This window comes from Homo sapiens, chromosome 2, assembly GCF_000001405.40.
Source record: "Homo sapiens chromosome 2, GRCh38.p14 Primary Assembly".
Lineage (NCBI taxonomy): Eukaryota > Metazoa > Chordata > Mammalia > Primates > Hominidae > Homo > Homo sapiens.
In genome coordinates, this window is record NC_000002.12 from 26253000 (window position 1) to 26266833 (window position 13834).

Below are 13834 nucleotides of genomic sequence, written 5' to 3' on the forward strand. Positions count from 1 at the left end.
TTGAGAGACAATTATATCTGTGGTTTTAATTTGAATTCTTCTTATGAGTGAAATTGAACATCTTTTCATATACTTAAGAACCATTTGTATTTCCTTTTCTGTGGTCTGTTCATATTCTGTGCCTATTTGTCTGCTAGTGTTTTCCTTAGTAATCTGTAGGAACTCATTGTTAGAAATTTAGTCTTTTTTGGAGGGGTGGGGGAAAGTTGTTAATATATTTTACATATTTTTTAACATATAGGGTTATTATATGTTTTACTTTTTTATTGTTTTGAAACAATACAGTATCAAACTTTGAAAAAGTTGCAAGTGCAGTACTACAAACTTTTTTTAGTAGCAGTTGAGATTAAGTTGCTGACATGATGCTTCACCATCCCTATTTAGTGTATATTCCCTTCAGATACAAACATTCCACAAAGCCTTCTACATAATCATAGTACAGCCTTCAGAATCGTGAAACTAATACTAATGGTTTTATTATCACGCCTAGCAGTCTCTCTGCTTCTTTGACCCTAAAGGAGAGGAGCACACACTCTAGAGGTAGACTTCCTAGGTTCAAATTCCAGCTCTGGGCCTGGTGCGGTAGCTCACGCCTGTAATCCCAGCACTTTGGGAGGCCAAGGCGATGGATCACCTGAGGTCAGGAGTTCGACACCAGCCTGGCCAACATGGCAAAACCCCATGTCTACTAAAAATACAAAAAATTAGCCGGGTGTGGTGGCACGTGCCTGTAATCCCAGCTACTCGGGAGGCTGAGGCAGGAGAATCGACTGAACCTGGGAGGCAAAGATTGCAGTGAACCGAGATTGCACCACTGTACTCCAGCCTGGGCAACAAGAGCAAAACTCCATCTCAAAAAAATAAATAAATAAATAAATAAATAAATAAATAAATAAATAAATAAAAATTCCAGCTCTGCCACTCACTAGTTGTAGGTCTTTTGGCAAGTCACTCAATCCTACTATGCCTCAATTTCCTTATCTCTTACAAAGGATGTAATAATCATGCCTCCTTTGTAGGTCATTGTGAAGATTAGATGGTTAATGCTTAGAATAGTGGTTGCTGCAATGTGAAAACCATGTTGGTGTTCCTATCATAATAATATTATTAGATGAAGAATAGTTGATAAGATTAAGTTTTAATGTTTTCTAGTAGCCATGGATGAGGTTATCAGAGTTCATAGACTACAATGTAAACTACAAATTGTTCAGCTAATCCAGGATATACTTTTGTTCTTCTCTTTTTAGATTCCAGAATGACTATCTTGACTTACCCCTTTAAAAATCTTCCCACTGCATCAAAATGGGCCCTCAGATTTTGTAAGTTTATTATTATTTTTTTATTTTTAGAGATTGGATTTGGATTTATAAACATCTCGCACAGATACTGAATGGTATTGCTTTTTGTAAACAGTTTATTTTGTCTTCCAGCCATAAGACCTCTGAGCTGTTCCTCCCAGCTACGAGCTGCCCCAGGTACAGTAATTTGTAAAATAAATATTTCTGATTTAAATGTTAGATTCCAGATTCTATAGTTTGTGAACTCTGAATAAAAACCAAAACTAATTTGCTAATTCTCCCCTTTTTATGAGCACATGAACATCTCTGTTGCCTTCAAATTAAAAAATTATAGGTCCAATCAATAATGATACTACATTATTTAGGATTAGGCTTGAGGATGTTAATGGGAGGCTGTTTTCTGGGATTTGAACCTGCTGGAGTCATGGAGGTTCCATAAACCTCGTTGGTCAGTTTATTTATCCTCTTGCTGTCCGTCCTGGAGGTGAATGGCATACAAATGCTCTTGAGACCTGCTATGGAACCAAAAGTTAACTTTAAATTTGCAATTTGTGAAATGCTTCTCTATTGATGAATATCTTCTTCTCCCATGTGCAAGAGGGCCCATTCCTGAAATAGAAGTGATTAGGAACTAGTTAATAACAGAAAGTTGTTTAGTTAATATGAAATGAAAGAGTAAGGAAATGTGTTGATTTTATATGGTCATTTACACCCTTAGTAAACCCAATGAATTAGGCTTCTTTACTGCAGATTTTTGTAGAATCTGCTGTAGGTTTTTATCTTCACTGGCTAGTGCTAAAAACACCCTGACAAATTCTTAACATTTTTCTCCTTGCCTAGATTCTGTATTGACCCATGCCTTTGATTTTGGTTTTATTATGGTATTTCTACCTGTATAATAATAGAAAAAATACCTTCCAGGCTGGGTGCGGGGGCTCACGCCTGTAATCCCAGCACTTTGGGAGGCTGAGGCAGGTGGATGGCCTGAGGTCAGGAGTTTGAGACCAGCTTGGTCAACATGGCGAAACCCCATCTCTACTAAAAATACAAAAATTAGCTGGGCATGGTGGCATACGCCTGTAGTCCCAGCTACTTGGGAGGCTGAGACACGAGAATCTTTGAACCCAGGAGGCGGAGCTTGCAGTGAGCCGAGGTCACACCACTGCACTCCAGCCTGGGTGACAGAGCGAGACTCCGGCTCAAAAAAAAAAAAAAAAGAAAGAAAGAAAAAATCCTGGGATTTGGTTCCCAGGATTCAGAAGACCTGTACTCTCTTCCAGCTCTACCTCTTTCTGGGCAGTGTGGCCTTGAACTGGTCACTTTACTTCCCTGTGCTTGGTTTCTTCATCTAAAAAAGGAATATATAATAAGTCTAGTCTTGTCAGCCTCATATAGTTATGAGATATCTCAAAGCACTTTAAAAACTATAAATTCACTGTAAGTGCAAGATGGTATTTTTCTATTATTGCCTAATCCCAACTAGAGAAGTTTCATATTGTCATATAACAAATATATTTCCTGTGGCCTTTACATTCTAACTAGAATATAGGTTTGTAGTAGCCCCATAAATAATTCCTGTCTGTCTTGTTTTGCCTTTTCCCTAATTCTAATGTTGACCCAGGTCTTTGCTTTGCAAAGTCACACAAATAGACCTGATCCTTGCCAAGTGGGAGAAGGTCATTCTGAATACCAGCAGAGGAAACCAAGTATCTGGTGTTTAAACTATTCCTTATATTGCTCTGTAACTGTTTCTGATGTTTGTGTCTCCCCAACTGTATTGTAAGCCCTGTGAGTCTTTAGCTTTTTGGTATCCCCAGTGTATAACATGGTGTTCCGCAAATATAACAGTGTCCCACAAGTAACTTGCATTAACGCTGATGATGATAGTGGTACCAGAAGGCACGTGATAAAACAATGGGAAGTGGCCAGCTGATTTGAGGGAGGAAGCAGGCATGTGCCTGTGCTGAGCAGGTTTTAGGTTGCAGTAATTTTTTTTTTGTTTTAACTGGCATTCTGGTTTGAAGATTGCAGTAATTTTATAACTAATTCCTCTTGAAGCTTGTGTGAATATCTCTTCTTGACAGAGCTGTTAGGATGAAGGAATTAAAATAGAGGGGTACAGAATTTATGGATGTTTTTAGTCATCTGATGGACTGGAAATGTAAGTGTCTGATGGAAATTTTGACTGATTTGATGGTTATGTCTATGTATAGATGTCTTTCTCTCTGTGTATATATATATATATATATACACACACACGTGTATAATAGTTGTATAATACATGACACATTTATTATCTTCTTTGATTTTAATTGTTTTTAAAGAGTATACAATGTATATCAGTCAGCCATTGAATTGTAGGTTTTGGAGTTGGTTAGAGCCTTTGAGGTCATCTAGTTCAGCTCTAATATTTGCAAATAAGAAAATCGTGGCAGAGTAGGCCTACAACCCAGATATTTTAGCTCTCAATTCAGATTCTTATAATTCATTACTGCTGTGTGCCCAGAGCACTGTAGAATATATAAAATGGAGCTGTATTGTCTTGAGAAAATTTTGATGTGCTTAGGAGCCAGTGTGCACATGAAGCAGAATGAGAGTCCTTAGGTGACTATTGAATACATAATTGGCCATTATTAGAAAGGGGTCATATGGTAGTTTTCTGCTGTGGCCTCAATCAGTCCTCTCGTAAATGTGCTAGTGGCTCTGTTTTCTCTAATGCTTTTTCTTATTTATTTATAAGTGTTGAAAGTAATGGGTTCATGTACCTGATTGCCTTGTTGATCTTGCGTCACTGGGAAGGCTAAGAGCTCCCCTTCTTTTTTTTTTTTTTTCTTTTTTTTTGAGACAGAGTCTCGTGCTGTCGCCCAGGCTGGAGTGCAGTGGCACAGTCTCGGCTCACTGCAAGCTCTGCCTCCCAGGTTCATGCCATTCTCCTGCCTCAGCCTCTTGAGTAGCTGGGACTACAGGTGCCCGCCAACACACCTGGCTAATTTTTTGTACTTTTAGTAGAGATGGGGTGTCACCGTGTTAGCCAGGATGGTCTCGATCTCCTGACCTCGTGATCTGCCCACCTCGGCCTCCCAAAGTGCTGGGATTACAGGCATGAGCCACCACACCCGGCCAAGAGCTCCCCTTCTAATGCTGCTTGCCTAAGACAGGGTCCCATAACTGTAGTATATCCATTGTCTTCTTCCCAGTTTATTGGGGGAGGGGGCTCAGGAAAAACCTCTGTCTCCTCTGTGGCACCTTTACCCAGTAACGGCGGGGCTGAGGGAGGAGGAGGTGGTAAGGTAGGTGATGGTTCCTCTTCGCTTCTCTTTTTAGGCTCTTCTGTGTAGAGCAGGGCCAAAGCAGCCCTAACTAAGGCCCACAACGTTAAAGATGTTACTGGGACCTGTTGCCCTTGTGCATGATGTCATTTAAGATTTCTTCCCACTTGTGGCTGGGCGTGATGGCTCACACCTGTAATCCCAGCACTTTGGGAGGCTGAGGCAGGCGGATCACGAGGTCAAGAGATGGAGACCATCCTGGCAAACACAGTGAAACCCTGTCTCTACTAAAAATACAAAAAATTAGCCGGGCGTGGTGGCGGGCGCCTGTAATCCCAGCTACTTGGGAGGCTGAGGCAGAAGCATGGTGTGAACCCTGGAGGCAGAGCTTGCAGTGAGCCGAGATCGTGCCACTGTACTCTAGCCTGGGGACAGAGCAAGACTCTGTCTCAAAAAAAAAAAGATTTCTTCCAACTTGTTCCCAGAACTCTAGGTCTAGTGTGCCTTCTTCTGGGAACCGTGGGTTATGGAAAACAACAGTTTGCATTAGGTCCCTTAACTGAGCCTCCGAAACGGAGGCTGTGCTAGCTTCAAGCAGCTGTTTCAATACTTTTATGTACTGTTGCTGTTGAGCTGATAACTCAAGTCCCATTGTTACGGGTGGGCCTTTGTTCTTAGAGCTCCCAAGATGGGGCAGGCGGCTCCCAAGATGGCGGCAAGCCTTTTTTTCTCTGACCTGAGGCTCTTGGCCTCATGGATTCCAAGGAATGGAACCTTGGGCCATGCAGTGAGTGTTATAGCTCTATTAGAAGCCATGGGTCATGGAAGAGAATCGTGGAACCCAGCGACTAGCGTTGAGCTCGATTAGGACGAACCTGGGCACTTGGCCGCACAGAAACAATGGCGAGCCTCTAGCCCAAACAGGAATGGCACTGGGTGCCTCGCTGGATCAGAAACGCAGCGGACACCCTGCCAGATCCGAGGGGTGGAAGTCAACAGCGGGTCTGCGACAGTGGCGAACAGCGGGTCTGTGACAGTGGCGAACAGCAGTGGTGGAAGGTGAGCAAAAGCTCAGCTCGAGCCAGAACAAACATGGACCAGAAGAGTGTGCAGTTGCAAGATTTAATAAAGTGAAAACAGAGCTGCTATACAAGGGTAGGGGATCCAAAGGGGGTTGCCCCTCCTTGCTCAAATGCCTGGGGTTTATATCCCAATCATTGTCGCTCCCCCTGTGCTCTCAGATGATAGATGATTTGAGTATTTCTTTACCTCCTGCTTTTAACCTAATTGATATTTTAGTGAGCCTTCTTTACCACCTGATTGGTCGAGTGTGAGCTGAGTTACAAGCCCCGTGTTTAAAGGTGGGTGCAGTCACCTTCCCCAGCTAGGCTTAGGAATTCTTAGTCGGCCTAGGAAATCCAGCTAGTCCTGCCTCTCACCATGATGAAACCCTCTCACCATGATGAAACCCTAGCTTGAACATCATGTCCCATGATGAAACCCTAGCTTGAAAATCCCCTCGAACTTGGAAATCCTGAGTGGGCACCAATTACTTACTGCACGGTCACTTCACTTTCATTTTCAAGGGTTCTGTCGTGATCCATTGCAGCATGTCTCACACGGGGCACCACCTGCCGGGTCTGTCCCACAGACCCTGGCTGACTGACAGATGAAATGAGTACTCAGACACAGGTATGCAGTGTAAGAGCAGCTAGGGGTCTGCCTGGCTCTAGTGGCCAAAGTGCAGCAGCCCTGAGAAGCTGGAGCTCCTTGCTTTTATTCAGTGTAGGCACAGTGATGAAAGCCTGGAGCAAACACAATCTGTGGGTAATTAACGTTTATTTCTCCCCTTCCAGGAACGTCTTGCATGGATGATCAAAGATCAGCTCCTGGTCAACATAAATAAGCTAGTTTAAGATACGTTCCCCTACACTCCCTTGTACCTACTCCTTGCCCTCTGCCTCAGGGTTATAGAACAGCTGCCTTCAGCTATTCTCCCCCAGGGCTCTGCAGAACCTTCTGACCTTTTAGAAGGCCTGCATCTTTCCCTATAGTTTCTCCCACCACTCCGACTGATCTCCTACATATAATAATGAATATTTTTTAAATGTGCCTTGTAGAGTTAGTTTAATTACTTTATAATATGCTAAATTATTTGGAATGGCCAGTGTGCCCTAGAGGTTGCCCAGAGGTTTAGAGGCAGGAATCATCAGTAACTGTAGTTATCAGGGAAGGCTTTACTAGGAGGTAGAATGTGAACGAGGCCCAAGAGACAGGTAAGAATTCGATGGGCAAAAAAGGGGCCAGGCAGATGGGAGGTCCATAAGTAAAGGCAAGGAGGCTGACCTGAGCAAAGCTGTAAAGGACTGGGGGCTGGCTCATCTTGTTCTATTTTGAGAAGTAGTGGAAAATACTTAAGGTGGAACCGAGTAAAACAAGCTATTTGTTAGAAGAGTTAAGAATTTGAATTTTATCTGAAAGTATATAAAAGGAATATATGGTCAGTTTTTTCTGGTTTTTTTTTTTTTTTTTTGAGGCAGAGTCTTGCTCTGTCACCCAGGCTGGAGTGCAGTGGCATGATCTCAGCTTACGGCAACCTCCACCTCCTGTGTTCAAGCCATTCTCCTGCCTCAGCCTCCCCAGTAGCTGGGATTATAGGAGCGTACCACCGTGCCCAGCTAATTTTTGTATTTTTAGTAGAGACGGGGTTTCACCATGTTGGCCAGGCTGGTCTTGAACTCCTGACCTCAAATGATCTGCCTGCCTCAGCCTCCCAAAGCGGTGAGATTACAGCGTGAGCCAGCACGCCTGGCTTGGTTAGTTTTTAAAATGTGGAATGACATGATGGTGTACCATTCGACCTGTCACCTGCAAGGTCAGTCATGAATAGTGTGCAAATCTTCAAATTTAGTGACCTGTTTTCTGTCTGCTCAAATAAGGATTTTCCTTGAGGACCGATGCATTTAACCATCTTGTTCTCCTTGACACTCTCCTGCCTTTGATCTTGTGTACTGTTCTCTCTTGATTCTCCTACTACCTCTCAAGTTACTGTTTGTCTCACATATTCCCTCAGCCTTCTCATTGTAGGGACATCACAAAGCTAAGGGTTTTTTGGTGTAGTAATGGACCCTCAAGTTAAGGATGAGAAGGTTTGTGTGTACTACAGCTGGAAAGGTGTTAGGAACCAAGCAAGCAGCTCTAGGGGCCAGCTACTTTGTCTCACACACCACATGGTATGTCCCTTTCCTGGTCTTTCTGCTTCTATCATTCTTCATTCTGGCTGGCTTATTTGCTCACTTATGGTTTACAAACTCTGGCTTACGAATGACATCAGTTTACCATCAACCTGTTCTTCCTCATGGCATCTTTTTAGCTTCAACTAATTGGCATTTCTTTCCATGCTTCTTTGCCTAGAGAGAGAATCTGACCAACACAGTTGATCACTTGTAGGTAGATGACACTGGTTTCTGGTTGGCTCCTATATGGATGGATCATTGGTGAGTCCAGTACCTACTCTGAATCTAATCAGCTTTTATATTGACTTAGGGATGTGTCTATGGCTTCCCCTTTGGCAGGGACTGTAAGCAGGGCAACTCCCTTTAGAGGGGCCTGTGGGATGTCCAAAACAACAACAACACAACAAATACCCCCCCCCCATCCAGACAAACAAAAAAAGTATCTTTTATTGTTAAAGAGGAAATAGGAAATTTAAAAATAAAAGAAATAGAGGGGGCTGTGGGAGAACAGGCATTGCAGAATACATCTCTGCTTTCCTTCTGTATTCTAAGCTTCAATATTTCATGACTTTCTAATCTACACTCATTTCTCTTCAGAGGTTTTGCTTTGCATCTTCTAGCTAACTGTGGAATTAACATATCCACCTGGTTGTCTCTCTGTCACCTCAAAGTTAGCGAGTTTAAAAATGAGGCCAGGCGCAGTGCCTTATGCCGGTAATCCCAACACTTTGGGAAGCCAAGGCTGGCGGATCACTTGAGGTCAGGAGTTCAAGACCAGCCTGGCAAACAAGGTAAAACCCCATCTTTACTAAAAATATAAAAACTAGCCAGGTGTGGTGTCGTGTGCCTGTAATCCCAACTGCTTGGGAGGCTGAGGCAGGAGAATTGCTTGAACCTGGGAAGTGGAGGTTGCAGTTAGCCGAGATCGTGCCACAGCACTCCAGCCTTGGCGACAGAGCAAGGCATCATCTCAAAAAAAAAAAATTAAGTCCCCTTTTTTTTCCAAAACCAGTTCTCACTTTGTTTCGGGTAGCTAGGTATTCTTAGTCTCTAAGATTCCTTTATAATCCTGTTTTCCTCTTTCCTTTCTTTCTATATCTGATTGGTTGCCAACATACCTTGTTTTCTTTTATAAACTTCCTCTTTACTCATGTTGATACTGCCTTTATCCTGGCCTTTTGTGCCACATGCTTGGGTTTGCCACAGTCTCTTTGCTTACCTCCTTGTTGCCTTTATCTCCTTCACCAGCAGCACTTCTCCATGAATGCTGCCAGCGTCATCTTTATGCCCTATTTTATCATGACTATTAACTCTCACTAATATTTCTTTAAAGTTGGTTGTAGATGTTTACTATAAATACTTCTCTGTGACATTAACAGGTGTGGTAAGGTCGTTGTTGACATTGTATTCCCAATAATTTAGGATTTTTTTCTATCTTTGATAAGGAATAATGATAGAGTAGGTAAATTCCAACATTAACAAAAACAAGAAAATAATGAACTAGATTTTGATATACTAACATGGAATGTTCTTCGAGCTATATTGTTAAGCCAATAAAATATACATAATATACAAGTATATGCATGTAAGTGCACTAAAAGAAACGATTTGAAAGTATATACACCAAATAAACAGACTTTACCTCTTAGAAGAAAATAGTGTGGTAGGCGAAGGCATAAAGAGGGAACTTTAGTTTTTACTCTCCATAGTTCAGTATTATTTACTTTTTAAAAAAAACCATAGGCACACATTTATATTTTATTCTTTAATTTAAGAAACCTAAAGGAAGTTTGCTTTTTTGAGATTAAAAAGTATTTAGGCATGTAGATTTTTGCAGAATAGCAAGTCACCAACCAAGTGCCCCTTATTTCCACGTAGAAAAGGTAAGAACATCAAGCTATGTGAAGAGTGAACAATATCAATCATTGCAACTTCTAATATTAAGGGTAGATTTGCGTGTAAATTTGGTTACTTCTAATGAAATAGGTTGTCAAACACTTAGTAAAAATGAACTATTTTGTTAATGGCATAAATTCCCTCATCATTGGATATAAGCTTTGTTTATCTTAAATATTATTTAGAAACTTACAAATGCTAGTCAATTTCTTAGCCTTTTTTTAAAAAAAAATTAAAGTGGTTTAGTAAATGGCAAATGCAAGTTGGCATTAATGATGTAATAATTCTTAGAATGACTATCTTAAAAAATGTAAAAGTAGGCCAGGCACGGTAGCTCACATCTGTAATCCCAGCAGTTTGGGAGGCTGAGGCGGGCAGATCACCTGAGGTCAGGAGTTTGAGACCAGTCTGGCCAACATGGTGAAACCCCATCTCTACAAAAATACAAAAATTAGCTGGGCATGATGGCAGGTGCCTGTAATCCCAGCTACTCAGGAGGTTGAGGCAGGAGAATTGCTTGAATCCGGGAGGCAGAGGTTGCAGTGAGCCGAGATCACGCCATTGCACTCCAGCCTGGGTGACAGAGCGAGACTCCATCTTAAAAAAAAAAAAAAAAAGTAAAAGTCATCAGACTTTATATATTTTAATTAGTAGTTTTTGTTTTTAAACTTTATCTTAAAGCTGTCCAGACCAAAACGAAGAAGACGTTAGCCAAACCCAATATAAGGAATGTTGTGGTGGTGGATGGTGTTCGCACTCCATTTTTGCTGTCTGGCACTTCGTAAGTATGACATGATCATATTATTTTTTTCCTTCTTTTAAGACACTTTCAAAAGTAGTCTTTGTAAATGTAACCCAGTAGGTAATAATATTGTTAGTGGACTAATATTTGGATAGCAGTCCCATGAAATTAATATAGAATAAGTCAAGACAGTGGTGAAATAATATGGCAACATTTGTTTTTTATCCTTCTCATGAATAAGTCTAGCGTAGTTTTACTTGAAACAGCTCTATTTTGAAAACCTAGAGGTCCAGATAGCTTGCTTCCAACAGAGCTGTCCTTTCCTTTTCTGGAGACAAGTACATTGTCCCTGTTTCTCCTCAGAAGTTTGAGTGCTGAAGATGTGGGCCATGGGCATTCTGAAGGGCCTATATAATCCACTGGTTTGGCCTCCTGGAAATTATTAAAATTGGAGTTGATAGGGCTGGTCCAAACCCCCAGCATAGCACAACCCCAAGTGTGTGGGACCAGAATGGTCCTAGACCAGCTCCAGAATTCCCTAGATCCAAATTGCTCTTCTCCTTGGCCTTTTGTGCTTCTTTTCTGTCCCCGAGTGAAGGTTAGTCTATCCAAAAGCTGATAATGGACTTTGATAACAAGGTTTAAACTGTTCATTCTATTCTGTTTAGATTGTTTTAATGTTTATATTTTGAATAGGTAGTTGCCAGCTTTAAAAAAATGCTGCGGAATGTTAGGCATCTGTTAAAAAGAATGAGACCTATCTTTATATACTAATATGGAAGACCTAAGATCTTGAAGATATGTTAAGTATAAAAAGCAAGGTTCAGGCTGGGTGCAGTGGCTCACACCTGTAATCCCAGCACTTTGGGAGGCCAAGGCAAGAGGATTACTTGAGCCCAGGAGTTCAAGACCAGCCTGGGTAACATAGCAAGACCTTGTCTCTGCAGAAAATAAAAAATATTAGCTGGGCATGGTGGTACATACCTGTAGTCCCAGCTACTCAGGAGGCTGAGGTGGGAGGATCACTTGAGCCTGGGAGGTCAAGGCTGCAGTGAGCCGTGATCATGCTACTACCTATACTCCAGCCTGGGTGACAGAGCAAGACTCCATCTCAAAAAAAAAAAAAAAAAAAAGCAAGGTGCACAGTATTGTGTATAGTGTGCAATGACTTATGAAAGATACACATGTGTGTGTGTATGTGTGTATACACACACAACAAAGGTTCATTTTTAAACAGATGGTTTGGGACCTACAAATATATTTTCTTACAGAAGTAATGCTATATGTTGGCCAGGCACGTGGCTCATGCCTGTAATCCCAGCACTTTGGAAGGCTAAGGTGGGTGGATCACTTGAGGCCAGGAGTTCATGGCAAAACCCTGTCTCTACTAAATACAAAAATTAGCTGGGTGTAGTGGTATGCACCTCTAGTCCCAGCTACTCGAGACACTAAGGCATGAGAATCTCATGAACCCAAGAGGTGGAGGTTGCAGTGAGCCAAGATCATGCCACTGTACTCCAGCCTGGGCAACACAGCGAGACCCTGTTTCAAAAAAAAAAAAAAAGAAGAAGAAGTAATGCTATAAGTAAATGGTAGTGACGTTTCTTTATTCATCCTATTTTATCAATATAGTAATCCACTTAACGATGTTTCTATAATCTCTTTCCTGTACTGACACAACAGTAAAAGTAAGAATCAGAAGGCTTTAGCAGCAGGAAGAAGATGATGTCCTCCTTTTACTCAGCAGCAATAAAATAGAAAAAGTTCCATCAAGACATGAAAGTTCTTGGCTAGGAAGACTTTTTTTGTAAGGATCATTATATATTATGTAGGTGTTTGATACTGTTTTACTAGCTGTTAAAAAATACAAACAGGCCAGGTTCAGTGGCTCACACCTGTAATCCCAACACTTTGGGAGGCCAAGGCAGGTGGATCACCTGAGGTTAGGAGTTTGAGACCAGCCCGGCCAATATGGCAAAACCCCATCTCTACTAAAAATACAAAAATTAGCTAGGTGTGGTGGTGCATGCCTGTAGTCCCAGCTACTTGGGAGGCTGAGGCAGGAGAATCACTTGAACCTGGGAGGTGGAGGTTGTGATGAGCTGAGATTGTGCCACTGTACTCCAGCCTGGGTGACAGAGCAAAACTCCATCTCAAAACAACAACAACAACAACAACAACAAAACACCCAAACATACTCAACTGTTTCATTTACTTTTATTAAACATTTGATGATTAGTATTTGCATGAAGTTTAATTTGAGGTATTTACCAAATTGGCATAGGGTTGTTCCTTTCTTTGTTGTGTATTGTGTTTTAGTTTAATTCAGGATTCTGGTTCATGAGCAATCTAGTGGTACAGAGAAGAGAAAAACATTGAGTAATGTAAGAAATGATAGTGAATAGGGAAGAAAGAATCAAAAGTATTTTAAGGCAATATTCATGTAAAGAACAAAAGTCACTAAAAAATAACATTAGAGGCCAGGTGCAGTGGCTCACACCTATAATTCCAGCGCTTTGGGAGGCGGAGGCGGGAGGATCATTCAAGGCCAGGAGTTTGAGACTGGCTTGAGCAACATATGAGCAACATAACTAGACACCTATCCCCAACGCCTCCTCACCCCCTACCTCCCAGTCCTATCTCTACAAAAAAAAGAAAAAAAAAAAGGTGTTTTAATTAGCCAGGCATGGTGGTGCATGCCCCTAGTCCTAGCTACTTGGGAGGCTGGGGCGGGAGGATTGCTTAAGCCTAGGAGTTTGAGGCTGCAGTGGGCTATGAACGTATATGAGCTATGCTATTGCACTTCAACCTGGGTGACAGAGCCAGACCTTGTCTCTTAAAAAAAAATTAATAATAATAACATAGAGGGAAAATGTATAAGGACAACAATTTTTACATTATTGATGTTAGGATTGAAGTACCAAATGAGTCTTCTGTAATAGAAGATCATTTTCTAAGTGGAAAAAGTCTTTTTCTGTTTAATTTGCAGAAACGTTGCTTTCAACTTGAGTGTTATTTGGAAGGCCAGGTTCTTATGGGTAGGGGCATTTGGGAAGCACTCCCGGGAATAGACTCTAGCAGTGGAATTCAGAAGTCTGTCAATCATTCAGGTAGAGGAGTGTGAGAGTATGAGAATAAAGATTGTAAATGATAAGTTGGCTGGGCGCAGTGGCTCACGTCTGTAATCCCAGCACTTTGGGAGGCTGAGGCGGGCGGATCACCTGAGGTCAGGTGTTTGAGACCAGCCTGGCCAACATGGCGAGACCCTATCTCTACTAAAAATACAAAAATTAGCCAGGCATGGTGGCGTGCACCTGTAATCCCAGCTACTTGGGAGGCTGAGGTGGGAGACTATCTTGAGCCCAGGAAGCACGTTGCACCACTGCACTCCAG

The 13834-nt window shown here is 41.8% G+C and overlaps 1 protein-coding gene across 4 annotated transcripts in view; it reads left to right on the plus strand.

Moving 5' to 3' along the window:
- HADHB (hydroxyacyl-CoA dehydrogenase trifunctional multienzyme complex subunit beta) overlaps positions 1-13834 on the plus strand; it is a 45527-nt gene that overhangs the window by 8061 nt on the left and 23632 nt on the right. For 3 of the 4 annotated variants that reach the window (XM_011532803.2, NM_000183.3, NM_001281512.2), the window contains exons 2-4: positions 1248-1319; positions 1431-1475; positions 10381-10480. In XM_011532803.2, coding sequence (XP_011531105.1) covers positions 1256-1319; positions 1431-1475; positions 10381-10480 — 209 coding nt within the window. In that variant the 5' untranslated portion in view covers positions 1248-1255. Of the gene's footprint in view, positions 1-1247; positions 1320-1430; positions 1476-7981; positions 8065-10380; positions 10481-13834 lie in introns of all 4 variants that reach the window. The other variant, NM_001281513.2, reaches the window with a different exon arrangement.